Below are 22,542 nucleotides of genomic sequence, written 5' to 3' on the forward strand. Positions count from 1 at the left end.
TTCAACTGGTGCGTCCATCAAGGATTTCAGGGACTCCAGTGAGTTATTATCCTCGAATGCTCGGTTCTGCCTGACAACCCAGAAATCTCTGACAAGATGCCTGGTCTTGGGGAAGGCTCAGCAAGTGGTTGAGGTTGATAACCAAATACCTAGGAGAGACTTTGCTCTCCCTCCAGGAGGAGCTGTGGGTCAGACACACCCTGGGATCATTCACAAGTTGTCAATAAAGGCTTGGGGAGGGCCAGGTTTTCTAGGCCTTCTCAATGGGGTCGGTGTTTGTGGATACACAAGAAGCCTGTGAAACTTCTGATATTGGCAGGAAATCAATGCACCCCACCCTCCACCTCCCCACATCCCCACTATAAACACATGCCCTGCAGCAGGACTTGCAACACAGGGGCTCCTGGGGTCCCGATTTATCTGCTAAAACATCCTCTAGCCACCACCGAATAAAGAAACCCCTTGCCACCCAACCACAAGAGCACAGCCTGGGAGCCACTCCAAGGGACACCAAGTCACATTAAAACCTCAGCCATCCAGAGCACCAGGCCTGGTGATGAGAAAGAACATTTTATCCTTAAAAGCATCTGAATGCCCATGCTGCTTCTTATAGAGAAAAGTCCAAAATAATCTGATATTAAAGAACGAGGATGGTTTTGGCATTTTTACCAAGCTAGTGGTCTACGCAGACAAAATCTCATAAAAGGGCACTCTGTTCTTCTTGATCCACTCAGACATGGCCTGTGAGTGAAGAAACTGGCTCTTGTCCTCAAAGAAATCACTGCTGATCCTCGTACCAGCCTGACACTGCTTCATGGGTTCTTCAGAAAGAGTATTTCCATAGAAACTAAAAAGGAAGAGGAATGTGTCTGGCGGGCATTGTGGGCAGCAGTGGGCTTTGGGCCAAATTTTAAGTTTGAAAATCAAGATTCCCTCTTTTCAAGGGGCCACTGGACTGAGCAGATACAGACACCGTGAAAAGAGGGTGCCATGTTCAGATTCAGGAAACAAGGATGGTTTCTATTCAGTTCCTCCATCATCCTTCAGGTCATGCGATTCCCATTACCCTCTGTGGACCAAACAATTCAGTGGGGTTTCTGTCTTTTAAATATTTCATTATCAACATATCATCCTTTTAGCCTCCAGAAAGCATTTTAACATGGAGATTCTGGCTTAAGACTCTTGTGGGTCTGTCTGTCTCTCTCTCTCTCTCTGTCTTTTCCTTGAAACAGGATCCCACTTTGTCACCCAGGCTGGAGTGCAGTGGCATGATCACAGCTCACTGCAGCCCGACCTTCCAGGCTCTAGCAATCCTCCCACCTCAGCCTCCAAAGTACTTGGGACTACAGGCACACACCACCATACTTGGCTTTTGTTTTGTTTTGTTTTGTTTTGTTTTGTTTTGTTTTTTGGTAGATATGAGGCTTCACCATGTTGCCCTGGCTCGTGTTAAACTGCTGGGCTCAAGCGATCCCCCCTTCACCCTCTCAAAGTGCTGGGATTATTGGCTTGAGCCACCACGCCCGGCCAAGGACCTTGTCTCTTGTGATGCACCCCAGAACAAAACATCACTGCAAAAACACACTAAGGCATGAGTTTCAGTCCTGAGTCCCATTTATCCGCCATACACTATGTGCCAGGCACAACGCTAAGTGCTTCTATGGACGAGTTTCCCTTAATCTCAGCAGTAACAACCGCAGGCACTGGGGTCTGTAGACCGATCCATTTGCCACTGAAGACAGTAAGGCTCATAGAGGGTAAGTGGCTTGTGCCATGTCAGCCAGCGAAGGAGGGGCAGAACCAGGATCCAAACCCCAGCTGCCTGGCTCCAGACTCGTGTTCCCAAGGTCCCACTACGCTTGGTCACCTTACTGCATTATAGTATCCTGGTCTTTGGCAGAGTCCACGTAAAAGAAGGAGGTAGAGGGAGTGAGAGGGCCTTCACGCAATAAAGTTTCCCGGCGTTACACTGCCACCGTAATTGTGTTCCCGATCAGGACCTCTCCCTTCTTATCCTGTCCGTGATTGGCCCTGGAAAACCTTCCAGAGAACTGTCCTCCTTCTCCTGGGATCTCAGAGAAAATTCACCTGAGTTCAGTGTCCAGGTGACCCAAGCTCTGAATGCAGTAACGAGCACAGGGAGATGAGGATGTCACCATGAGAAAGCCTCCCAGGCAGCATCCGGGAGCAACCCCAAGACTGGGCAGGGTGGGGCTCTGATGCAGCCCACGGCGAGGAGGGCTGCCCATGCTGCCTAAATGGGTTCAGAATGAAGGCCGCCCTCTCTCCCATGTGGGGCTCATTAACCACGAATCCAATTATTAAGACAAGCTCAGTTAAGTAAATGGTCAAACATAAAAACATGTGGAAGGAACAAAGAGGTCAACCCCATTATCCATCAAAAACCATCAAGGTGGCAGCAGTCACTGAGGGGTACAGCTCTCCAGCTGGCCTTCATCTGCTCTCCAAACTCACGTGCCTCCCCAGTGGAAGGCCAGCAAAGCCACACAGGAAGATTTGGGGTAGGAAAGCAGAAAGTGAACCCCAGGAGGCCAGGCTGGCCACGGAGCACCATCCCACACACACAGGCCCGGTGACTCAGGGGCCCACGTGTGCAGGACACCGGGAGCTCATAGGGACAGCGCCCCAGGGAATGCAAGGAACTTTGCCTCTCTGTCCCTCTCTGTAGGGATGGAAAGAGAACGATTTCTGGGATGGAAGCCATCTGCCTCCTCTCAACTCTGGCTGCCCAACTAGAAAGGGAAAAAAAAAACAGGAAGATGCGGGACAGGTGACGAGCTGGGTGAGCGCCACCAGCCCGCAGCCCAGCAGAGCAGGGCTTGGCCAAGCCTGGCACCAGGGACTTCCCCCCTGCCCCCACCACAGGCCCCTCGCCAGGTGAGAGGCACCGACAGAGTCCCAGACAGATGCCCCAGACAGGATGCCCAGGGCAACCCCCGCCCCTTCCCCTGCTGGGGGCCCCAGGACGCGGGGCTCCCCCTCCCCTTTTGGCCAGCTGCAGAGTCCAGCGGGTATCCCAGCCAGGGACGTCGTGGGAGAATCAGGAAGTCGAAGCCACACAGCCGAGAAGGGGCAGCTGGCGTCTCGGAGGCCGTCACCAGCTGTCACTCCGTGCCGCCGGAGTTGCCGCTCAGTAACCAACTTCAACCCGGAACCGGCCACGGAGCCTCCCGCCGCCTCTACCCCGCGTCCCCGGCACCTCCGCGCCCCCGGACCCCCGCGCCCGCGTCACTTACTCCTCTGCCGTCGCCACCTGTCTGGGTGCCGGTGTCCTCCTTGCCCGGCCGCAGCGCGTCCTCCCCGTCCTCGCAGTCCTCGGGCTGTGCTCTTCCCCCCTCCAGCAACAGCCGCAGCCTCTTCTCTTCAGGAGGGACGTCGTCCTCCTCCCTCCTGGGCCGGCCATCCCTGCCTCGGGGCTTGCCAGTGGCTTCGGAGCTGCCGGAAGGGCTGGCCATGGCTCCAGGGGCTCTGCCTGCACTTGGGGAAAAAGAAGCACCCGGGGCGAGCGTCCTCTCGGCGGAGCTGGGGCGTCTGAGCGCGAGCTTGCTGGGTCCGCGAGGCGCGGAGCTGGGCATCGGGGCGGGCGCGGGCTCCTCCGCGGGCCGCTCCTGGCTCTCTGGCGCCCTCTGCTGGCCTCTCCCGCGCAGCGCGGACACGCCGGGCCCGGGCCTGCGCCGCGCTCACCTGTCCTGGCCCAGGAGGTCGCTGTCCCTTGCCCGTGGCCAGGCCCGCTCTGGCCAGGCCCTGCACCTCCTCCCCGCCCCAGCCAGGTTGCACTCCGATGGTCTCCCTGCCCAAGGAGGAGAGAAGACAAGGGACGCCCCGAGAGGGTAGACATAGGCCACAGCCACCTTGTCTTTGCTCTTACCCTGTTTCTTCCATGATTTGGAGGGGGTGGGAAAACCGAGGCTGCTCAAAACTCGTGGAGAATTCCGCCTGCAGGATGACATGAATGCACTTTCCCATTGCCTACCAACAGATCTTTTTTGAGCATCACTGTGGACCAGGTGTGGTGATGGGGGAGGGGATATTGTGGTGAACATGACAGGCATTGCCTTCACCCAGTGGGGCTCAGCGCTGGGTGGGAAGGCATTGAGAATGGACATTGTCAACTCGGCCAAAGGAGGCCAAGGAGAAGGGCTGGGGGCATGGGAACTGAAAAAGACAGGAGGCTCAGCAGGTCTTGGAACTGGGAAAGTGACAGCAGCAGCGGCTGTTCCAAAGGAAGCAACAGCTGAGAGAGGTCTCAGAGAGTTGTTCTCAGCCCAGTGGAGGGTGTTCAGGCAGAGGGAACAGCGTGTGCAAAAGCCCAGAGGCTGGGAAAGAAGCAGAAAGAGGACTGTGGGGATGGAGCGTGGTGGGCAAGGGGAGGAAGGTGTGGTGGGCAGAAAGATTGCCTGGGACCCAGCCGTGCAGGGGCAGAGGAGATAGGGAATCCTTGCAGGCCCCCAGCCGGGGCTCAGGCACAGAGACAGTGCAGGTGGGCAAAGGGAGGAGACGTGGAGAAATATTTTGGAGGCATGCCCTGATGAATGAGCCCAGGATGCACCCTTAGTGTCAGTGTGGAGCTCTTTCCTTGACTGTGTGATGAGCTGAACTCGGGGGTATTTTCTGGACATTGAGGTGCTACACCAAGAGCCCAGGACAGGCTAAGTGAGCACTAGCAGCTCCTGGCCCACCTCAAAAGCAGGAGAGACAGGGGAGACTGGGGAGGCCGGGGCAGAAGGGGAAGCCAGGAAGGTAGGAGAGGCCAGGGAAGCAGAGGAGGCCAGGGAGGCAATGGAGGCAGGAGAGGCTGGGGAGGTTATGTCCTTTCCATGATTCTGCCCTGGATCCTAAGCCCCTGAACTCCCTGAGCTTCCCCACCCCAAGGGCTGGAATCATGTTGCACAATGGTCTCCCCACTAAGCTCCTGATGGCAGCCCCTACCCTGCTGTGCTCCCTATTTCAACCCTAACAGCTCTCACAGTGGGCAGCACATAGTAGGTGCTCAGGAAACACTGGTGGGAGAGCACTCGGGTCTGCTCAGCACCTTCCTCTCTCCTCCAGCTCTCCCCTGTCACGAAATAATTCTGATAACGACACATGGACTTTGAGACCCTCTTCTATTACTTTCCATATGCTAATCCATCTATACCTCACAGCAGCCCTGGGGGTGGGTGCAATGAGGATGCCCATTTTATAGAGGAGGAGACTGAGGTATAAAGAAGGTAAGTGACATACGCACACTACGGGGGCTGGGGCCAAGTGATCAGAACACTCAATCCCCAAAGGCAAGGTGGATGCAGTTATCATAAAAGACAGCAGAGTCAAAGCTGCAACCAGAATAGCCCGACTCGCAGCGACCTATGGTGCCTGCTGATCGTGGCTTTCCTAGAAGTGAAATAGATAAGAAGCCTGCCACATTTCACTTGATCTGTGTTTGCAGAAGAGTTCTAGGTCAAGTGAGCAGAAGTCTAATCTGAATCATAAAAACAGAGTCACAGTCCCCAGTCAATTTCCAGACATAAGCCAGTTCACAGACCTGGACTCCCTTGTCTGAATGGGAAGCCAGGTCCCCTCCAGAAAGGACTCTGCTACACTGCCAAAAATTTATACTGTCAATCTTCCTCCCAACCTGCCCCCAAGGGAATACACAGCCTTTCGCCAGGATGACTGAACAGGAGAAAAGGAACTAATGAGACCTGTGCAGGATCACTGGACACAGGCTCTGAACTGGCACTAGGGCGAGACTAGGGTCTACTAGTCAGAATAGGCATTTTGGAGGTAAGGTGAATGTTGGTGCAAGTTCATGTCATGGTAGATCCATTGGGTCCCCAAATCCATCCTCTGGTTATATACAAAGAGGCAATGTTGAGATTCAAATTCAGGGCAACCAACATAGAGCCTGGGCTCTTACTCATGAAACATTCTGACACTAGTAACCAATTTAAAAGTGCAAACACCTCCTGGGGCTAGCCAGAGTCCCCAAAACAGTCATGTCAATTGGTTCTGTCAAGAATTTCCTCCCACCCCCTGCTGAGAGCCAGTTGCAAGGAGAGACTAGGGAAGGGCATTGGGTAACTTTGTTGCTAAAAGCTCTTCTGGATAAAGACGTATGGGAAAAGAAGCAAATAGAGTTCAGCAGAAGAGGTAAGAAAGTAAGTTTATGTTTGGCCAGGCACGGTGGCTCACGCCTGTAATCCCAGCACTTGGGAAGGCCGAGGCGGGCAGATCACGAGGTCAAGAGATCGGACTATCCTGGCCAACATGGTGAAGCCCCGTCTCTACTAAAAATTCAAAAATTAGATGGACATGATGGCGCACGCCTGTAGTCCCAGTTACTCAGTAGCCTGAGGAAGGAGAATCACTTGAACCCAGGAGGTGGAGATTGCAGTGAGCGGAGATCATGCCACTGCACTCCAACCTGGGCAACAGAGTAAGACTCTGTCTTAAAAAAAAATTAAAATAAATAAATGCTATGCGCAGCATTTTCCATGTACTGTCTTATTATCTCGGTGAATCCCATATAACCTTCCTATCAAAGTGTATCTCATTTATCTCCATTTTATAGATGAGAAAACTGAGGCCCCTGGAGTAGTATTAATTTTCCAAGACCACATTGCTCATAAAGGGTACAGCAGGGACCCAAGCTCGACACTCTCACCCTCAAACATTTCCACAAGTGTGGACCAATGGCTCTTAACTGGGGTGGTTTTGCTCACGTACCGCTCCCTTGCCCCACATTATTTGAAACCATCTGGAGACGTCTGGGGTAGCCATAGCAGGGAGGGTAGAATGGCACCTAGAGGATGGAGACCACAGATGCTGCTAACCATCCTTCAATACACAGCACAGCCCCACCACCAGCACCACGAATGGTCTCACCACAAATATTCTGACTGTGCCAAAGCTGAGAAACCCAGGTTTCTCCTCAGCAAGAAGGAAAATCCCTGCAACGTGGATGCACCTCTACAGGAGCCCCAGGCTGACAATAACCTTCCTGATCTGGTTTCAACCCTGGATGCTTTTACCAGGTGCGTCCATCAGGGATTTCAGGGACTCCAGTGAGTTATTACCCTCGAATGCTCGGTTCTGCCTGACAACCCAGAAATCTCTGACAAGATGCCTGGTCTTGGGGAAGGCTCAGCAAGTGGTTGAGGTTGACAACCAAATACCTAGGAGAGACTTTTCTCTCCCTCCAGGAGGAGCTGTGGGTCAGACACACCCTGGGATCATTCACAAGTTGTCAATAAAGACTTGGGGAGGGCCAGGTTTTCTAGGCCTTCTCAATGGGGTGGGTGTTTGTGGATACACAAGAAGCCTGTGAAACTTCTGATATTGGCAGGAAATCAATGCACCCCACCCTCCACCCCTCCCCACATCCCCACCATAAACACATGCCCTGCAGGGCAGGACTTGGCACTCAAGGGCTCCTGGGGTCCCGATTTATCTGCTAAAACATCCTCTAGCCACCAACGAATAAAGCAACCCCTTGCCACCCAACCACAAGAGCACAGCCTGGGAGCCACTCCAAGGGACATCCAGTCACATTAAAACCTCAGCCATCCAGAGCACCAGGCCTGGTGATGAGAAAGAACATTTTGTCCTTAAAAGCATCTGAATGCCCATGCTGCTTCTTGCAGAGAAAAGTCCAAAATAATCTGCTATTAAAGAACGAGGATGGTTTTGGCATTTTTACCAAGCTAATGGTCTACACAGACAAAATCTCATAAAAGGGCACTCTGTTCTTCTTGATCCACTCAGACATGGCCTGTGAGTGAAGAAACGGCTCTCCTCCTCAAAGAAATCACTGCTGATTCTCACACCAGCCTGACACTGCTTCATGGGTTCTTCAAAGAGAGTATTCCCATAGGAACTAAAAGGGAAGAGGAATGTGTCTGGCGGGCATTGTGGGCAGCAGTGGGCTTTGGGCCAAATTTTAAGTTTGAAAATCAAGATTGCCTCTTTTTGAGGGGCCGCCGGACTGAGCAGATACAAACACCGTGAAAAGAGGGTGCCATGTTCAGATTCAGGAAACAAGGATGGTTTCTGTTTAGTTCCTCCATCAACCTTCAGGTCATGCGATTCCCATTTCCCTCTGTGGACCAAACAATTCAGTGGGGTTTCTGTCTTTTAAATATTTCATTATCAACATATCATCCTTTTAGCCTCTAGAAAGCATTTTAACATGAAGATTCTGGCTTAAGACTCTTGTGGGTCTGTGTCTCTCTCTCTCTCTATCTCTCTTCCTTGAAACAGAGTCTCACTTTGTCACCCAGGCTGGAGTGCAGTGGCATGATCACAGCTCACTGCAGCCCGACCTTCCAGGCTCTAACAATCCTCCCACCTCAGCCTCCAAAGTCCTTGGGACTACAGGCACACACCACCATACCTGGCTTTATTTTTTATTTTTTTTATTTTTGGTTGATATGAGGCTTCACCACCGTGCCCAGGCTGGTCTTAAACTCCTGGGCTCAAGCGATCCTCCCCTTTCGGCCTCTCAAAGTGCTGGGATTATTGGCTTGAGCCACCATGCCCAGCCAAGAACCTTGTCTCTTGTGATGCACCCCAGAACAAAACATCACTGCAAAAACACACCAAGGCATGAGTTTTAGTCCTAACTCTCATTTATCCACCATACACTATGTGCCAGGCACAATCCTAAGTGCTTCTGTGGATAAGCTTCCCTTAATCTCAGCAGTAAACCCCAGGCAATGGGACCTGTTGACAGATCCATTTGCCACTGAAGACAGTAAGGCTCAGAGAGGATAAGAGGCTTGTGCCATGTCAGCCAGCTAAGGAGGGGCAGAACCAGGATGCAAACCCCAGCCGCCTGGCTCCAGACTCGCGTTCCCAAGGTCCCACTACACTTGGTCACTCCACTGCATTCTGGTATCCTGGTCTTTGGCAGAGTCCACGTAAAAGAAGGAGGTGGAAGGAGTGAGAGGGACTTCACGCAATAAAGTTTCCTGGTGTTACACTGCCACCGTAATTGTGTTCCCGACCAGGACCTCTCCCTTCTCATCCTTTCCGTGATCGGCCCTGGAAAACCTTCCAGAGAACTGTCCTCCTTCTCCCGGGATCTCAGAGAAAATTCACCTGAGTTCAGTGTCCAGGTGACCCAAGCTCTGAATGCAGTAACGTGCACGGGGAGATGAGGATGTCACCATGAGCAAGCCTCCCAGACAGCAACCGGGAGCAACCCCAAGACAGGGCAGGGGGGGCTCTGATGCAGCCCGCGGCGAGGAGGGCTGCCCGTGCTGCCTAAATGGGTTCAGAATGAAGGCCGCCCTCCCATCTTCAACCCGGGGTCGGCCACGGAGCCTCCCGCCACCTCTACCCCGTGTCGCAGGCACCCCCGCGCCCCCGGCACCCCCGGACCCCCGCGCCCGCGTCACTTACTCCTTTGCCGTCGCCACCTGTCTGGGTGCCGGTCTCCTCCCTGCCCGGCCGCGGCGCGTCCTCCCCGTCCTCGCAGTCCTCGGGCTGTGCGCTTCCCCCCTCCAGCAACAGCCGCAGCCTCTTCTCTTCGGGAGGGACGTCGTCCTCCTCCCTCCTGGGCCAGCCATCCCTACCTCAGGGCTTGCCAGTGGCTTCGGAGCTGCCGGAAGGGCTGGCCATGACTCCGGGGGCTCTGCCTGCACTTGGGGAAGAAGAAGGACCCAGCGCGAGCGTCCTCTCGGCGGAGCTGGGGAGTCTGAGCGCGGGCTCGTTGGGTCCGCGCGGCGCGGAGCTGGGCATCCGGGCGGCGCGGGCTCTTCCGCGGGCCGCTCCTGGCTCTCTGGCGCCCTCTGCTGGCCTCTCCCGCACACCGCCGCCACGCCGGGCTCGGGCCTGCGCCGCTCTCACCTGTCCTGGCCCAGGAAGTCGCTGTCCCTTGCCCGTGGCCAGGCCCGCTCTGGCCAGGCCCTGCACCTCCTCCCCGCCCCAGCCAGGTTGCACCCCGATAGTCTCCCTGCCGAAGGAGGAGAGAAGAGAAGGGACGCCCGGAGAGGGTGGACATCGGCCACAGCCACCTTGTCTTTGCTCTTACCCTGTTTCTTCCATGATTTGGAGGTGGTGGGAAAACCGAGGCTGCTCAAAACTCGTGGAGAATTCCGCCTGCAGGATGACATGAATGCACCTTCCCATTGCCTACCAACAGATCTTTTTTGAACATCACTGTGGACCAGGCGTGGTGATGGGGGAGGGGATATTGCGGTGGACATGACAGGCATTGCCTTCATCCAGTGGGGCTCAGCGCTGGGTGAGAAGGCATTGAGAATGGACATTGTCAACTCGGCCAAAGGAGGCCAAGGAGAAGTGCTAGGGGCATGGGAACTGAAAAAGACAGGAGGCTCAGCCGGTCTTGCAGCTGGGAGAGGGACAGCAGCAGCGGCTGTTCCAAAGGAAGCAACAGCTGAGAGAGGTCTCAGAGAGTTGTTCTCAGCCCAGTGGAGGGTGTTCAGGCAGAGGGAACAGCGTGTGCAAAAGCCCAGAGGCTGGGAAAGAAGCAGAAAGAGGACTGTGGGGATGGAGCGTGGTGGGCAAGGGGCGACAGGCGTGGTGGGCGGACAGATTGCCTGGGACCCAGCCGTGCAGGGGCAGAGGAGATAGGGGATCCTTCCAGACCCCCAGCCGGGGCTCAGGCACAGAGACAATGCAGGTGGGCAAAGGGAGGAGACGTGGAGAAATATTTTGGAGGCATGCCCTGATGAATGAGCCCAGGATGCACCCTTAGTGTCAGTGTGGAGCTCCTTCCTTGGTTGTGTGATGAGCTGAACCCGGGGGTATTTTCTGGACATCGAAGTGCTACACCCAGAGTCCAGGACAGGCTAAGTGAGCACCAGCAGCTCCTGGCCCACCTCAGAAGCAGGAAAGACAGGGGAGACTGGGGAGGCCGGGGCAGAAGGGGAAGCCAGGAAGGCAGGAGAGGCCAGGGAAGCAGAGGAGGCCAGGGAGGCAGGGGACGCAGGAGAGGCTGGGGAGGCTGTGTCCTTTCCATGATTCTGCCCAGGATCCTAGGCCCCTGTACTCCCTGAGCTTCCCCACCCCAAGCGCTGGAATCGTGTTGCACAATGGTCTCCCCACTAAGCTCCTGATGGCAGCCCCTACCCTGCTGTGCTCCCTATTTCAACCCTAACAGCTCTCACAGTGGACAGCACATAGTAGGTGCTCAGGAAACACTGGTGGGAGAGCACTCGGGTCTGCTCAGCACCTTCCTCTCTCTTCCAGCTCTCCCCTGTCACGAAATAATTCTGATAACGACACATGGGCTTTGAGACCCTCTTCTATTACTTTCCATATGCTAATCCATCTATACCTCACAGCAGCCCTGGGGGTGGGTGCAATGAGGATGCCCATTTTATAGAGGAGGAGATTGAGGTATAAAGAGGGTAAGTGACATAGGCACACTACAGTGGCTGGGGCTAAGTGATCAGAGCACTCAATCCCCAAAGGCAAGGTGGATGCAGTTACCATAAAAGACAGCAGAGTCAAAGCTGCAACCAGAATACCCTGACTCGCAGAGACCTATGGTGCCTGCTGATCGTGGCTTTCCTAGAAGTGAAATAGATAAGAAGCCTGCCACATTTTTACTTGATCTGTGTTTGCAGAAGAGTTCTAGGTCAGGTGAGCAGAAGTCTAATCTGAATCATAAAAACAGTGTCACAGACCCCATTCAATTCCCAGCCATAAGCCAGTTCACAGACCCGGAGTCCCTTGTCTGAATGGGAAGCCAGGTCCCCTCCAGAAAGGACTCTGCTCCACTGCCAAAAATTTATACTGTCAATCTTTCTCCCAGCCTGCCCCCAAGGGAATACACAGCCTTTACCAGGATGACTGAACAGGAGAAAAGGAACTAATGAGACCTGTGCAGGATCACTGGACACAGGCTCTGAACTGGCACTAGGCTGAGACTAGGGTCTACCAGTCAGAATACACATTTTTTAGGTCAGGTGAATGTTGGTCCAAGTTCATGTCATGGTAGATCCATTGGGTCCCCCAATCCATCCTCTGGTTATATACAAAATGGCCATGTTGAGATTTAAATTCAGGGTATCCAACTTAGAGGCTGTGCTCTTACTCATGAAACATTCTGACACTACTAACCAATTTAAAAATGCAAACACCTCCTGGGGCTAGCGAGAGTCCTCCAAACAGTCATGTAAATTGGTTCTGTCAAGGATTTCCTCCTACCCACCCCACCCACCACTGAGAGCCAGTTGCAAGGAGAGACTAGGGAAGGGCATTGGGTAACTTTGTTACTAAAAGCTCTTCTGGATAAAGAAGAGCTTTACCAGGAAAAAGAAGCAAAATAGAGTTCAGCAGAAGTTGCGAAAAGAAGCAAATAGAGTTCAGCAGAAGAGGTAAGAAAGTAAGTTTATGTTTGACCAGGCACGGTGGCTCACGCCTGTAATCCTAGCACTTTGGGAAGCCAAGGCGGGCAGATCACGAGGTCAAGAGATCGCACCATCCCGGCCAACATGGTGAAGCCCCGTCTGTACTAAAAATTCAAAAATTAGCTGGTCATGATGGCACACGCCTGTAGTCCCAGGTACTCGGGAGCCTGAGGAAGGAGTATCACTTGAACGCAGGAGGCAGAGGTTGCAGTGGGCCGAGATCATGCCACTGCATTCCAACCCGGTGACAGAACTAGACTCCATCTCATAAAACAAAACAAAACAAACAAAAAAAGTAAGCTTATTTTTAAGCCTGAACAAGTGTAATGATTTAGGGGTTCTGCAAACACGGCCCCAATCAGGCTACAAGATGTTGTGGCAGCAATATTTACAGCCAGTCACTCCTGGCCGGCTGAGCCACTTTTCAAAACGCCCTTGCACGGCTGTGCAGAGTGGCTGGCTCCACTGGCAGCCGGCAGAGTAATAACTCACACTGTCACCACTGCCCTCAAACCTCTTCGGTAAGCGCTTTGTTTTTTTGAGATGGAGTCTTGCTCTGTCATCCAGGCTGGAGTGCAGTGGCACAATCTCGGCTCACTGCAAGCCCTGCCTCCTGGGTTCATGCCATTCTCCTGCCTCAGCCTCCCAAGTAGCTGGGACTACAGGCACTCGCCACCATGCCCGGCTAATTTTTTGTATTTTCAGTAGAGACGGGGTTTTACCGTGTTAGCCAGCATGGTCTCAATCTCCTGACCTTGTGATCTGCCTGCCTCTGCCTCCAAAGTGCTGGGATTACAGGCATGAGCCACCGCGCCTGGCCTGGTAAGCACTTTTAATCAATGCAACAGGAATAAACATTTGCTGCAGAGCGGCAATGTGCAGGGAGGAACATGCTTCCACTCAGGATCAGAAAGCAAAACCTCCTGGCTGTTTGCATCTATGCAAGAGCTCGCAGGAAAAGCCCTCTGTGTGGCTGCCAGCCTCACACACTCCCCCCAAGGGGTGAGTTTCTCTTTCCATGTTAATCTATGCTCTGACGTGCCATCTGTCAACAACCACACCATTCTCAGTTGCCCTTTCAAAGCATCTTTGCCCTGAGAATGGTCACCAGCCCTGCCCTGCAAGCCCCCAGGTGACAATGAACTTAAATGAGAGAGAAAACAGGTTTCGGGGTGGATTTCAGTTCAGCATCTTGGAGTCTCTGTGTGGACATGAAATCTGTCTCCCCAGCTGTGGGCTGCATCCTTGTTTGTCATCTGGTTTGGTTCTTGGGGACTTGGAAACTCGTGGGCACCTTTGCAATTTGTCAAGAAGCTGCACGGCCCTTCCAACAAAAGCAAGGAATAGGAGCAGAAGCCCAAGGCTTCAGATCAAGGTGCAATTTAAAGCAGCCTCAGTGTAAAAGCAAACAAGAGCCAGAGGGATGCCTAAGGCAGAGTCTAGACCCCAGGGCAACTATAAGGCAAAGAGAAAGAGAGAGAGAGACAGAGACAGAAAGACAGAGAGAGATGGGGGGACACAGGAGGCACCCAGGCCTCTGGATCAAAATCCCTACAAGAGGGGCCTCCTAAAAATGCAGGAGGCTGAGGTGGGTGCACACAGAAGTTCAAGACTAGCCTGGGCAACATAGCAAGACCGTGTCTTTACAAAAAATACAAAAATTAGCCGGGTGTGGTGGTGTATGTCTGTGGTCCCAGTTACCCAGGAGGCTGAGGTGGGAGGATGGCTTGAGCCCAGGAGGTAGAGCTGCAGCGAGCTGAGATAGCACCACTGCACTCCAGCCTGGGCAACAGAGTGAGACTTCATCTCAAAAAAATTTTAAAATATTTTTAAAAAGGATCGCCCCGGCTACTTGAATGGGTAATAAGAAGGTAAGAGCAGAAGCAAGGAGACCAGCAGGGACATTCTGCAGGTGGGAGTCCACAGTGGCTCAGACCAGGCTGGGGCTGAAGACTGGCTGAATTCTGTATATATTTTGATGATGAAGCAACTCACCGACTCTTGAAGAGTGGGCTCTAGGAGACGGTATTTTTAACAAGCTCTCAGAGGATTCTAATGCAGGCTGAAGTTGAAGAACTGGTTTAGGTGAAGCTTCTGTTTCATCCTTGGGGAAGTACCTACTGACTTTTCTCTAAGCCACCTCAAAAGAGGTGCTAGACAAGATGTGCTCCAATGTCTGAACATGTGTGCATAGCTCTAGAGCCAACCTCAGGACACTGAGTCAAAGGTTAGGAGTACAACAGTGAACAACCACTGTCCTCTTTTCCATGAGCTTTGCATTTAATGAGAGAAATAAAAAGCAAAAAAAAAAAATCATTTTCAACTCAGAATGGTAAGAGTTACGGTGACAGTATGCCTGGGGCAATGGGAGCACATAGAAGGGGCACCCAATCGGCCAGGTGCAGTTGTTCATGCCTGTAATCCCAGCACTTCGGGAGACCAAGGTGGGTGGATCACTTGAGGCCAGGAGTTCGAAAACAACCTGGCCAACATGGTGAAATCCTGTCTTTACTAAAAATACAAAAAAATCAGCCAGATGTGGTGGCGGGCACCTGTAATTCCAGATACTCAGAAGGCTGAGGTGGGAGAATTGCTTGAACCCGGGTGGTGGAGATTGCAGTGAGCCAAGATCGCACCACTGCACTCCAGCCTGCATGGTCAGAGCAAGACTCCTTCAAAAAAAACAAAAGAAAGAAAAAAGAAAAAGCCCGGAGGTGGGTGGGCGTGCAATCTATATCAGGTTGTGAGAAATCCCTCTCCACCACAGGACTCCTCAGTTGAAGACTAGAAAATGGTAGGAACTAGCCAGGTCGATAGGAGAGGTGTGGAAGATCATTCCCAGCAGAGGGAAGAGCATGTGCAAAAATCGAGACGTGAGAGGGTGAGGAGCTGAGAGATGTTCATATAATTATAAAAAGTGACTAACATAGAGGTAAGTTGGAGCCAAATCTTTTTTTTTTTTTTTTTTTTTTTTTTTTGAGACGGAGTCTCGCTCTGTCGCCCAGGCCGGACTGCGGACTGCAGTGGCGCAATCTCGGCTCACTGCAAGCTCCGCTTCCCGGGTTCACGCCATTCTCCTGCCTCAGCCTCCCGAGTAGCTGGGACTACAGGCGCCCGCCACCGCGCCCGGCTAATTTTTTGTATTTTTAGTAGAGACGGGGTTTCACCTTGTTAGCCAGGATGGTCTCGATCTCCTGACCTCATGATCCACCCGCCTCGGCCTCCCAAAGTGCTGGGATTACAGGCGTGAGCCACCGCGCCCGGCCGGAGCCAAATCTTAAAGGCTCTTTGTCGTGTCTATCCTGTAGACAAAGGGAGACAGTAGATGTTTTTAGACAGGGGAGTAATGATCCACTTTGTGCTAGAACAAGAGCAGTCTGGCTGGAGGAGAGTGGGAGGTGAGTAGACCAGGTAGGAGGCTGCAATACACCAAGTGAGACAAGATGGTTGGCTGGACCAAGGCTGTGGCAGTGAGGATGGAGAGGAGACAGTAGACTAACTTGACTGAGAAAGAGGGAGGAATGAAGGAGGAGGCCCAGGTGTTTTGGAAGCTGGGTGGATGGTGGTGTGAATCTGACGTGGTGAGCCCAGGCAGAAGAGGAAATCAGGAGAGGCAAGGTAAGATGAGGTCAATGCAAGACAGACAGCCAAGTGGAGATAACAAGTGGGCAGTTGGATTCATCAGCCTGGAGTTATACAGAGAACTCTGGAATGGAAATAAAGAGGAAAGGACTTTGGGAATAGGTGAATCCTCCCAGAATAATGTGTAGAGAAAGGAGAATAGAACACAGGGGACAGAAAAAGGGAAGAGATTTGTTATTAAAACCAACCATCCATCAGACATCTCCCAATAAAACACTTGTTAGAGGTTTCCTCAGTGTGAGTTATTCAGGACCAGAGCTAAAGACCATATTCCCAATAAAATCACTGGTGGGAAGGTCTTCATGAAAACATTTAATTCTGCTTTTAAAACAACAACAACAACAAAAAGGCTTTAGCTACCGCACAGACCCTGGAGCAATTTTTCGGCAAGAGTCTATCAAACACGAATCTGATCTGACTCAAGGAGGTGTCATATCAAGTGTAAAAATCCAATTCCAATGTCCTTAAAAGCCTTTCTGCCAGGTACAAGACCCTAATCCAATTGAAGTGATTTTCTATTGATTAATAGGCTGGGAATACACAGGTTGTTTGTTTTTGAGATTTCTCTCCCTGTGCCTTCATGGCAGCTGTGAAAGAGTCAAAAGGCTCCTAACTGTCAAAATAAAAATGACACTTGGTCACAGAGGAAACAGATTATAGGTCAATCACATTGATGACTTTTTAACTATGAGAAGCCATTAATCTTACTGAATAAGCAAATCTGTTTACATAACCAGATTTTTATAGGCTACTGGGAATAAAGGTTTTCCTAAGTGGGTGATTTGTACAACGATAGCCTTTGGGTCTCTGATGGAACAGCTCTGATGAGGAAATGTTCCTTTAATTATGTGGAAGGCCAATTACCACGTTATCGCTACATTGTTTTTCAGATTGCATGTAATTTCACCATTTCCATAGCTTCAGCACTATAATTCTGGAGAAAATTCAGGCACCAAGGAGACACCTGAGGCACATTATGCTGGAGACAAAGATGTTTTAGCGAATTCAATTTAAGCTTCAACATTAAAGTTATTTTCTTGAAAAAAAACATATTGCAATAATGAGCTTGTGTATGTCAACTCTATAGTGGAGGTAATAATATCTAGAGAGAGCATGTCCCGTCTCCTCTTTTTAATGCTCATTTGAGTAATACATAATGCTATAGAGAGAACCTTTCTCTAATATGTGCTTCATCTCAGGCTAAGTGTGTTTTGGGCAACTGTGCTTCATGGAAAAAAAAAAAGGTAAAGGATCTAATTGGGGAGCCATTCACAAAAGTGTTACCACTTGATTTTTTTTATACTCTGAGATTTCTTATTCCCAGTGCCTACCAGGAAAGGACTTTCTGGAGAAGCTCAGATTAATCACTCCTTATGAGAGGTGACAGTGTGCTGGCAGCCCTCACAGCCCTCATTCGCTCTTGGTGCCTCCTCTGCCTGTGCTCCCACTTTGGCGGAACTTGAGGAGCCCTTCAGCCCGTGGCTGCATGGTGGGAGCCCCTGTCTGGGCTGGCCAAGGTCGGAGCTGGCTCCCTCAGCTTGCAGGGAGGTGTGGAGGGAGAGGCATGAGCCAGAACTGGGGCTACACATGCTGCTTGTCTGCCGGCTGAAGTTCCAGGTGGGCATGGGCTTGGCGGCCCTGCACTAGGAGCTGCTGGCCAGCCTAGCCGGCCCGGGCAGTGAGGGGCTTAGCACCTGGGCCAGCAGCTGCTGTGCTTGACTTCTCGCCGGGCCTTAGCTGCCTCCCCATGGGGCAGGGCTCAGGACCTGCAGCCCGCCATTCCTTAGCCTCCCCCCTCTGTGGGCTCCTGTGCAGCCCGAGCCTCCCCAACAAGCACCTTCCCCTGCTCCACGGTGCCCAGTCCCATCGACCACCCAAGGGCTGAGGAGTGTGGGCGCACAGAGAGGGACTGGCAGGCAGCTCCACCTGTGGCTCCTGTGTGGGATCCACTGGGTGAAGCCAGCTGTGCTCCTGAGTCTGATGGAGACTTGTAGAACCTTTATGTCTAGCTAAGGGATTGTAAATACACCAATCGGCACTCTGTATCTAGCTCAAGGTTTTTAAACACACCAATCAGCACCCTGTGTCTAGCTCAGTGTTTGTGAATGCACCAGTCGACACTCTGTATCTAGCTACTAGGGTGGGGACTTGGAGAACCTTTGTGTGGACACTCTGTATCTAGCTAATCTAGTGGGGATGTGGGGAGCCTTTGTGTCTAGCTCAGGGATTGTAAACGCACCAGTCAGCACCCTGTCGAAACAGACCACTCAGGCTCTCTGTAAAATGGACCAATCAGCAGGATGTGGGTGGGGCCAGGTAAGAGAATAAAAACAGGCTGCCCGAGCCAGCAGTGGCAACCCGCTGGGGTCCCCTTCCACACTGTGGAAGCTTTGTTCTTTTGCTCTTTGCAATAAATCTTGTTGCTCCTCACTCTTTGGGTCCACACTGCCTTTATGAGCTGTAACACTCACTGAGAAGGTCTGCAGCTTCACTCCTGAAGCCAGTGAGACCATGAACCCATCAGGAGAAATGAACAACTCCAGACGTGCAGCCTTAAGAGCTGTAACACTCACTGTGAAGGTCTGCAGCTTCACTCCTGAGCCAGCAAGACCAGGAACCCCACCAGAAGGAAGTAACTGCGAACACATCGGAACATCAGAAGGAACAAACTCCAGACACGCCACCTTTAAGAACTGTAACACTCACCAGGAGGGTCCGCGGCTTCATTCTTGAAGTCAGTGAGACCAAGAACCCACCAATTCCGGACACACTTACACACTTGGCACTGGGAGGTCTGTATGGAGCAAGTGAGGAAATCAGCAGAGTAAAGATAGAGGGAGAACAACATGATGGGGGAAAGCAAAGTTACTGCCATGTAGGTTTCAATTCTGCCACTCATGACTGAGACCCATGACCTCCTCTCTCTAGGACTCTGTTGTTCTTATCTGTAGAGTGGAGGAATAGAAGGGTCTTTTAAAGTATTAATATTTCCTGACCTATCTGTAAAACACTTTCATTCAAACTGATGGGAATCTTGACTACTTTGCCAAGAGGACATAATAATCATCAAGCTGAATGCACCAAACAACATTGCCTGAAACTATCTAAGCAAAAACTGACAAAGTTACACAGGACAGACAAACCTCCTATGAGAGTAAGAACTCTTCAGCACATGCTTAGTGTGTCAAAGACAATGCTGTGTTCACACCATTCCTCTTCCTCTACATGCAGAAAGACTACATTTCCCAGCCTCACTTGCAGTTAGTTTGGAACCATGTGACTGCATTTCCACCAATAGGAATGTAAGAAATCACTTCTGGGCCAAGGTTATCAAAGGCAAGTGTGAGCTATGTTCCCTCTCTCCCTATCCATATGGCTGCAAGTGAAAAACTCTGAGATGGCAGAATTAAAAGATGGAAACCTGCAGAATCTCTGAATCACTGTTGGACAAGGGCCCCCAAGGAGAACCCCTGCCCTGCACCAGACTATACTATGGGTGCCAACCCACTGAGAGTTCAGGGTTTATTCGTCTCAGCAGCAGTCTATTGTTACACTGACTAACATCCTAAGGTTTGAGAGATCTAGCATATTGTTAACTGAAGCTAGATTTCAATTACACTGAGAACCTTATCTATTTAAAAATAAAAACTCTCCTAAAAAAAACAAATAATCCACATTCCTTTTAACCACATGTGGAAAATTTGCAAAAAAAAAAAAAAAACTGGCCACATATTAGGCCATAAAGAAGTCTCAGCAAAATCCACTATACAATTGACATTGTCCAGACCACATTTTCCTGACCATAATGCAATAAAATTAGAAGTCAACAGCAAGAAGATAGATAAACACAAGCACACATTTGGAAAATTAAAAATATCCTTTCATGAGTTAAATGAAAAATCACAATAGAAATTACTAGACATTTACAACAGAACGAAAATACAACTTTATATATATATACATATTTACATATATATATACATATTTACATATATATATATATATATATATATATATATATATATGTATTTTTCTTTGTGAGTCTTCCAACTTTGTTCTTCCTTTACAAGGTTATCTGGGAAATTCTGGGTTTCCTGCAAATCCTCATACAGTTTTATGCTGTTTGTCAATTTCTGTGGCTGGGATAAACTTATCATAGTTCTCATAGACCAGGGTTTGCATCGCTGTCTAGAGCCCAGATCTGCTGCACCATGTCCGTCTCACTGTCCATCAGCTGGGCCAGAGGGCACTCTCTAGGCAGCTTGTCTAGGTAAACTTCTGGGTTGAACTGCGCCCCGTTCAGATCAGTGGGGTCCAGGGGGTCTGGACCCGCGAGGTGTCCCACCGCCTCCCCTTCCGAGAGGCCACTGTAAAGCTTTAGCATCCTGTGCGCCTTCCACCGACACTCCGTGAGCCTCCCACTCGGGCCCTTCTGGGAAGTCCCCAGGTCCACAGCCCGGGCTAGGCCCAGTGACAGCTGCCGCCGCCATAGGTCCAACTGCAGCCCACGGGCGTAATTTTTATATTTTTAAGTTGGCTACATGGAGCTACTTGGCGTTTGCTTTCATCACACCGTTGAGGAAAGAGGTGGTTGCTTATGGTACCCCTGTTTTTACTGCAACCTGTAATGGATGAGAACCTCCCTGTTGCAGAGAGCAAAACACTGAACTAAATTGTGCTGTAACACAGCTCTGTGTTGGCGGATTGGGAGTGATCATGCAAATGCTTGCAAATTTGCACAGTGACAGACACAATCTTTTGGGCAGCTGTTCACTATAGGAAAAGGCAATTGACTAAAAGTCAGTTACTGAGCTATCTCAATACTTTCATTTCATTTTAACTTTTGCAGTAGGGTGCAATTAAAGGAGAGAAAGAAAACAAAGTGATAAGTGTAAGATAATGTACACACATGTGTAAAAGAAAATGACAAGACAGGATGACTATTTGTCTCTTGGGTAGCTCCTTGGGCTCCATGTCTCCTTCCTCAGAGAACCTCGTTTTCCTTTGTCCAGATTTGTTAGGGTGGATAATCCAGGGGCCTGCTCCCCCATGATAGAAGCCAAAGACGTCCCTGCAGGCGCCTCCCGCTGCATCCTTTTCTGCACTGCCCACATGGACACAACTCAGCCGATTAGACTTGTTCTCAGAACTTTAGTCTTGAGCAAAGAGATTAAAGGGTGAAGTGACTGAAGGTATGCCCTTCCAAAGTGGTACGTGAGCTAATGGCTAAAGTTTGCCAAGCCCATCCAATCACTTTTTTTCGTAATTTTTATATATTTATTTTTTTGAGAGAGATTCTTGCTCTGTTGCCCAGGCTGGAGTGCAGTGGCGTGATCTCGATTCACTGCCACCTCTGTCTCCCAGCTTCAAAGGAGTCTCCTGTCTCAGCCTCCCCAGTAGCTGGGATTACAGGCATACGCCACCATGCATGGCTAATTTTTTTTGTGTGTGTGTATTTTTAGTAGAGACAGGGTTTCACCATGTTGGCCAGGCTGGTCTTGAACTCCTGACCTTGTGATTCGCCTGCCTCAGCCTCCCAAAGGGCTGGGATTACACGCGTGAGCCACCGCGCCCAGCTTCAAAAAGTTTTAAGCAAAGCTCAGAGGTCTTAACCACAGGCACATCGGAGGATCATGTTTGAAACACTTTCCAGCTTCCTCAATAGGAATGGAAACCAAACTCCGAATTGATGACTCCTTTGAGGAAGTCGAGAGCTGTAAGGAAAGCCAGTAACAGGGGCAAGGGAGAGATGCGTCCCGAATGATCCTGTGCCAATTCTTTCTGGAATCCTTGATGTGATCTCAGCTGCCCTTTCTATACATGACACAGTGATTGTGGCACCCACTGGTCTAGCTGTGGTCTCCAAGGAACCCCCAAAGGGAAGGGCTCAGGGAGCAGGGGCATCAGCCTGAGTGACAAGGATTTGAGAGGGCAGGTTGGATGCAGGGAGAGGACTGGCCAAATGCCATGTGTCTGGACTTAGACTGCCTGGTTCAAATTGGACTTCGCCCTTTTTGACTTCGTGATCTGGTACAAGCTACATGAAAATCCGTTGCGCCTTTTCTAGTCTGTAAAATCATCCTGAAATGTGCACTAATAACGTGGAGACTATGCAGATGAAATGAAACAAGCTGCATAGAGCACAGAGCTCAGAGTCTGGCCTTTATGAAGCCCTCAGTAAGGGTTCATGATGCCATGGTGTCTGTCGTCATCCTCTTTATCCTCATCATCACCTTCATAATCTCTTTGTTGTTCTTAGGGAATAGTTTAGAGGGACTGATCCCCTGCTATCATGGGTGAGATGTCTATGAAAAGGACAACCAGTGGGGGAGGAAAGCAAAATTTTGAATAAGATTTCTGAGACCCCCACCACAACCAAGAACAGAAACGCCACAGTCTGCTGAGCAGAGAGTTGCATATTGGTCTCATCCCATCCACCCATCACACTCTCCTGTTTGTCCTGAGGATGAGGAAACAAACAAGGCTCCCGACCATCCCTCAGTATTCACTTGAAGGG

General features: G+C 50.9%; 1 long non-coding RNA gene and 1 pseudogene across 1 annotated transcript in view, besides 5 other annotated features; both read right to left on the reverse strand.

Moving 5' to 3' along the window:
* Positions 1 to 9,739, reverse strand: part of LOC729732 (uncharacterized) — a 128,533-nt gene extending 118,794 nt beyond the window's left edge. Inside the window, exons 1-2 of the long non-coding RNA NR_047662.2 lie at positions 9,406 to 9,739; positions 3,258 to 3,957 (exon numbers count right to left, since the gene is read on the reverse strand). This is a non-coding gene — a long non-coding RNA (uncharacterized LOC729732). The remainder of the gene's footprint in view (positions 1 to 3,257; positions 3,958 to 9,405) is intronic.
* Positions 2,765 to 3,417: an enhancer, noted in NCBI's record as "H3K27ac-H3K4me1 hESC enhancer chr8:12516146-12516798 (GRCh37/hg19 assembly coordinates)". NCBI's record gives its function as "activates a minimal SCP1, AML or CMV promoter by ChIP-STARR-seq in naive H9 embryonic stem cells {active_cell/tissue: H9 hESC(naive)}" and the evidence as "EXISTENCE:reporter gene assay evidence [ECO:0000049][PMID:30033119]".
* Positions 3,613 to 3,732: a silencer, noted in NCBI's record as "silent region_18949". NCBI's record gives its function as "represses an Ori minimal core promoter by ATAC-STARR-seq in GM12878 lymphoblastoid cells {active_cell/tissue: GM12878}" and the evidence as "EXISTENCE:reporter gene assay evidence [ECO:0000049][PMID:35858748]".
* Positions 9,494 to 9,783: an enhancer, noted in NCBI's record as "active region_27041". NCBI's record gives its function as "activates an Ori minimal core promoter by ATAC-STARR-seq in GM12878 lymphoblastoid cells {active_cell/tissue: GM12878}" and the evidence as "EXISTENCE:reporter gene assay evidence [ECO:0000049][PMID:35858748]".
* Positions 10,200 to 10,701: an enhancer, noted in NCBI's record as "H3K4me1 hESC enhancer chr8:12523581-12524082 (GRCh37/hg19 assembly coordinates)". NCBI's record gives its function as "activates a minimal SCP1, AML or CMV promoter by ChIP-STARR-seq in naive H9 embryonic stem cells {active_cell/tissue: H9 hESC(naive)}" and the evidence as "EXISTENCE:reporter gene assay evidence [ECO:0000049][PMID:30033119]".
* On the reverse strand, positions 20,163 to 20,517 carry VPS51P19 (VPS51 pseudogene 19; annotated as a pseudogene).
* Positions 20,390 to 20,907: an enhancer, noted in NCBI's record as "H3K4me1 hESC enhancer chr8:12533771-12534288 (GRCh37/hg19 assembly coordinates)". NCBI's record gives its function as "activates a minimal SCP1, AML or CMV promoter by ChIP-STARR-seq in naive and primed H9 embryonic stem cells {active_cell/tissue: H9 hESC(naive and primed)}" and the evidence as "EXISTENCE:reporter gene assay evidence [ECO:0000049][PMID:30033119]".

This window comes from Homo sapiens, chromosome 8 (genome assembly GCF_000001405.40).
Source record: "Homo sapiens chromosome 8, GRCh38.p14 Primary Assembly".
Classification (NCBI taxonomy): domain Eukaryota; kingdom Metazoa; phylum Chordata; class Mammalia; order Primates; family Hominidae; genus Homo; species Homo sapiens.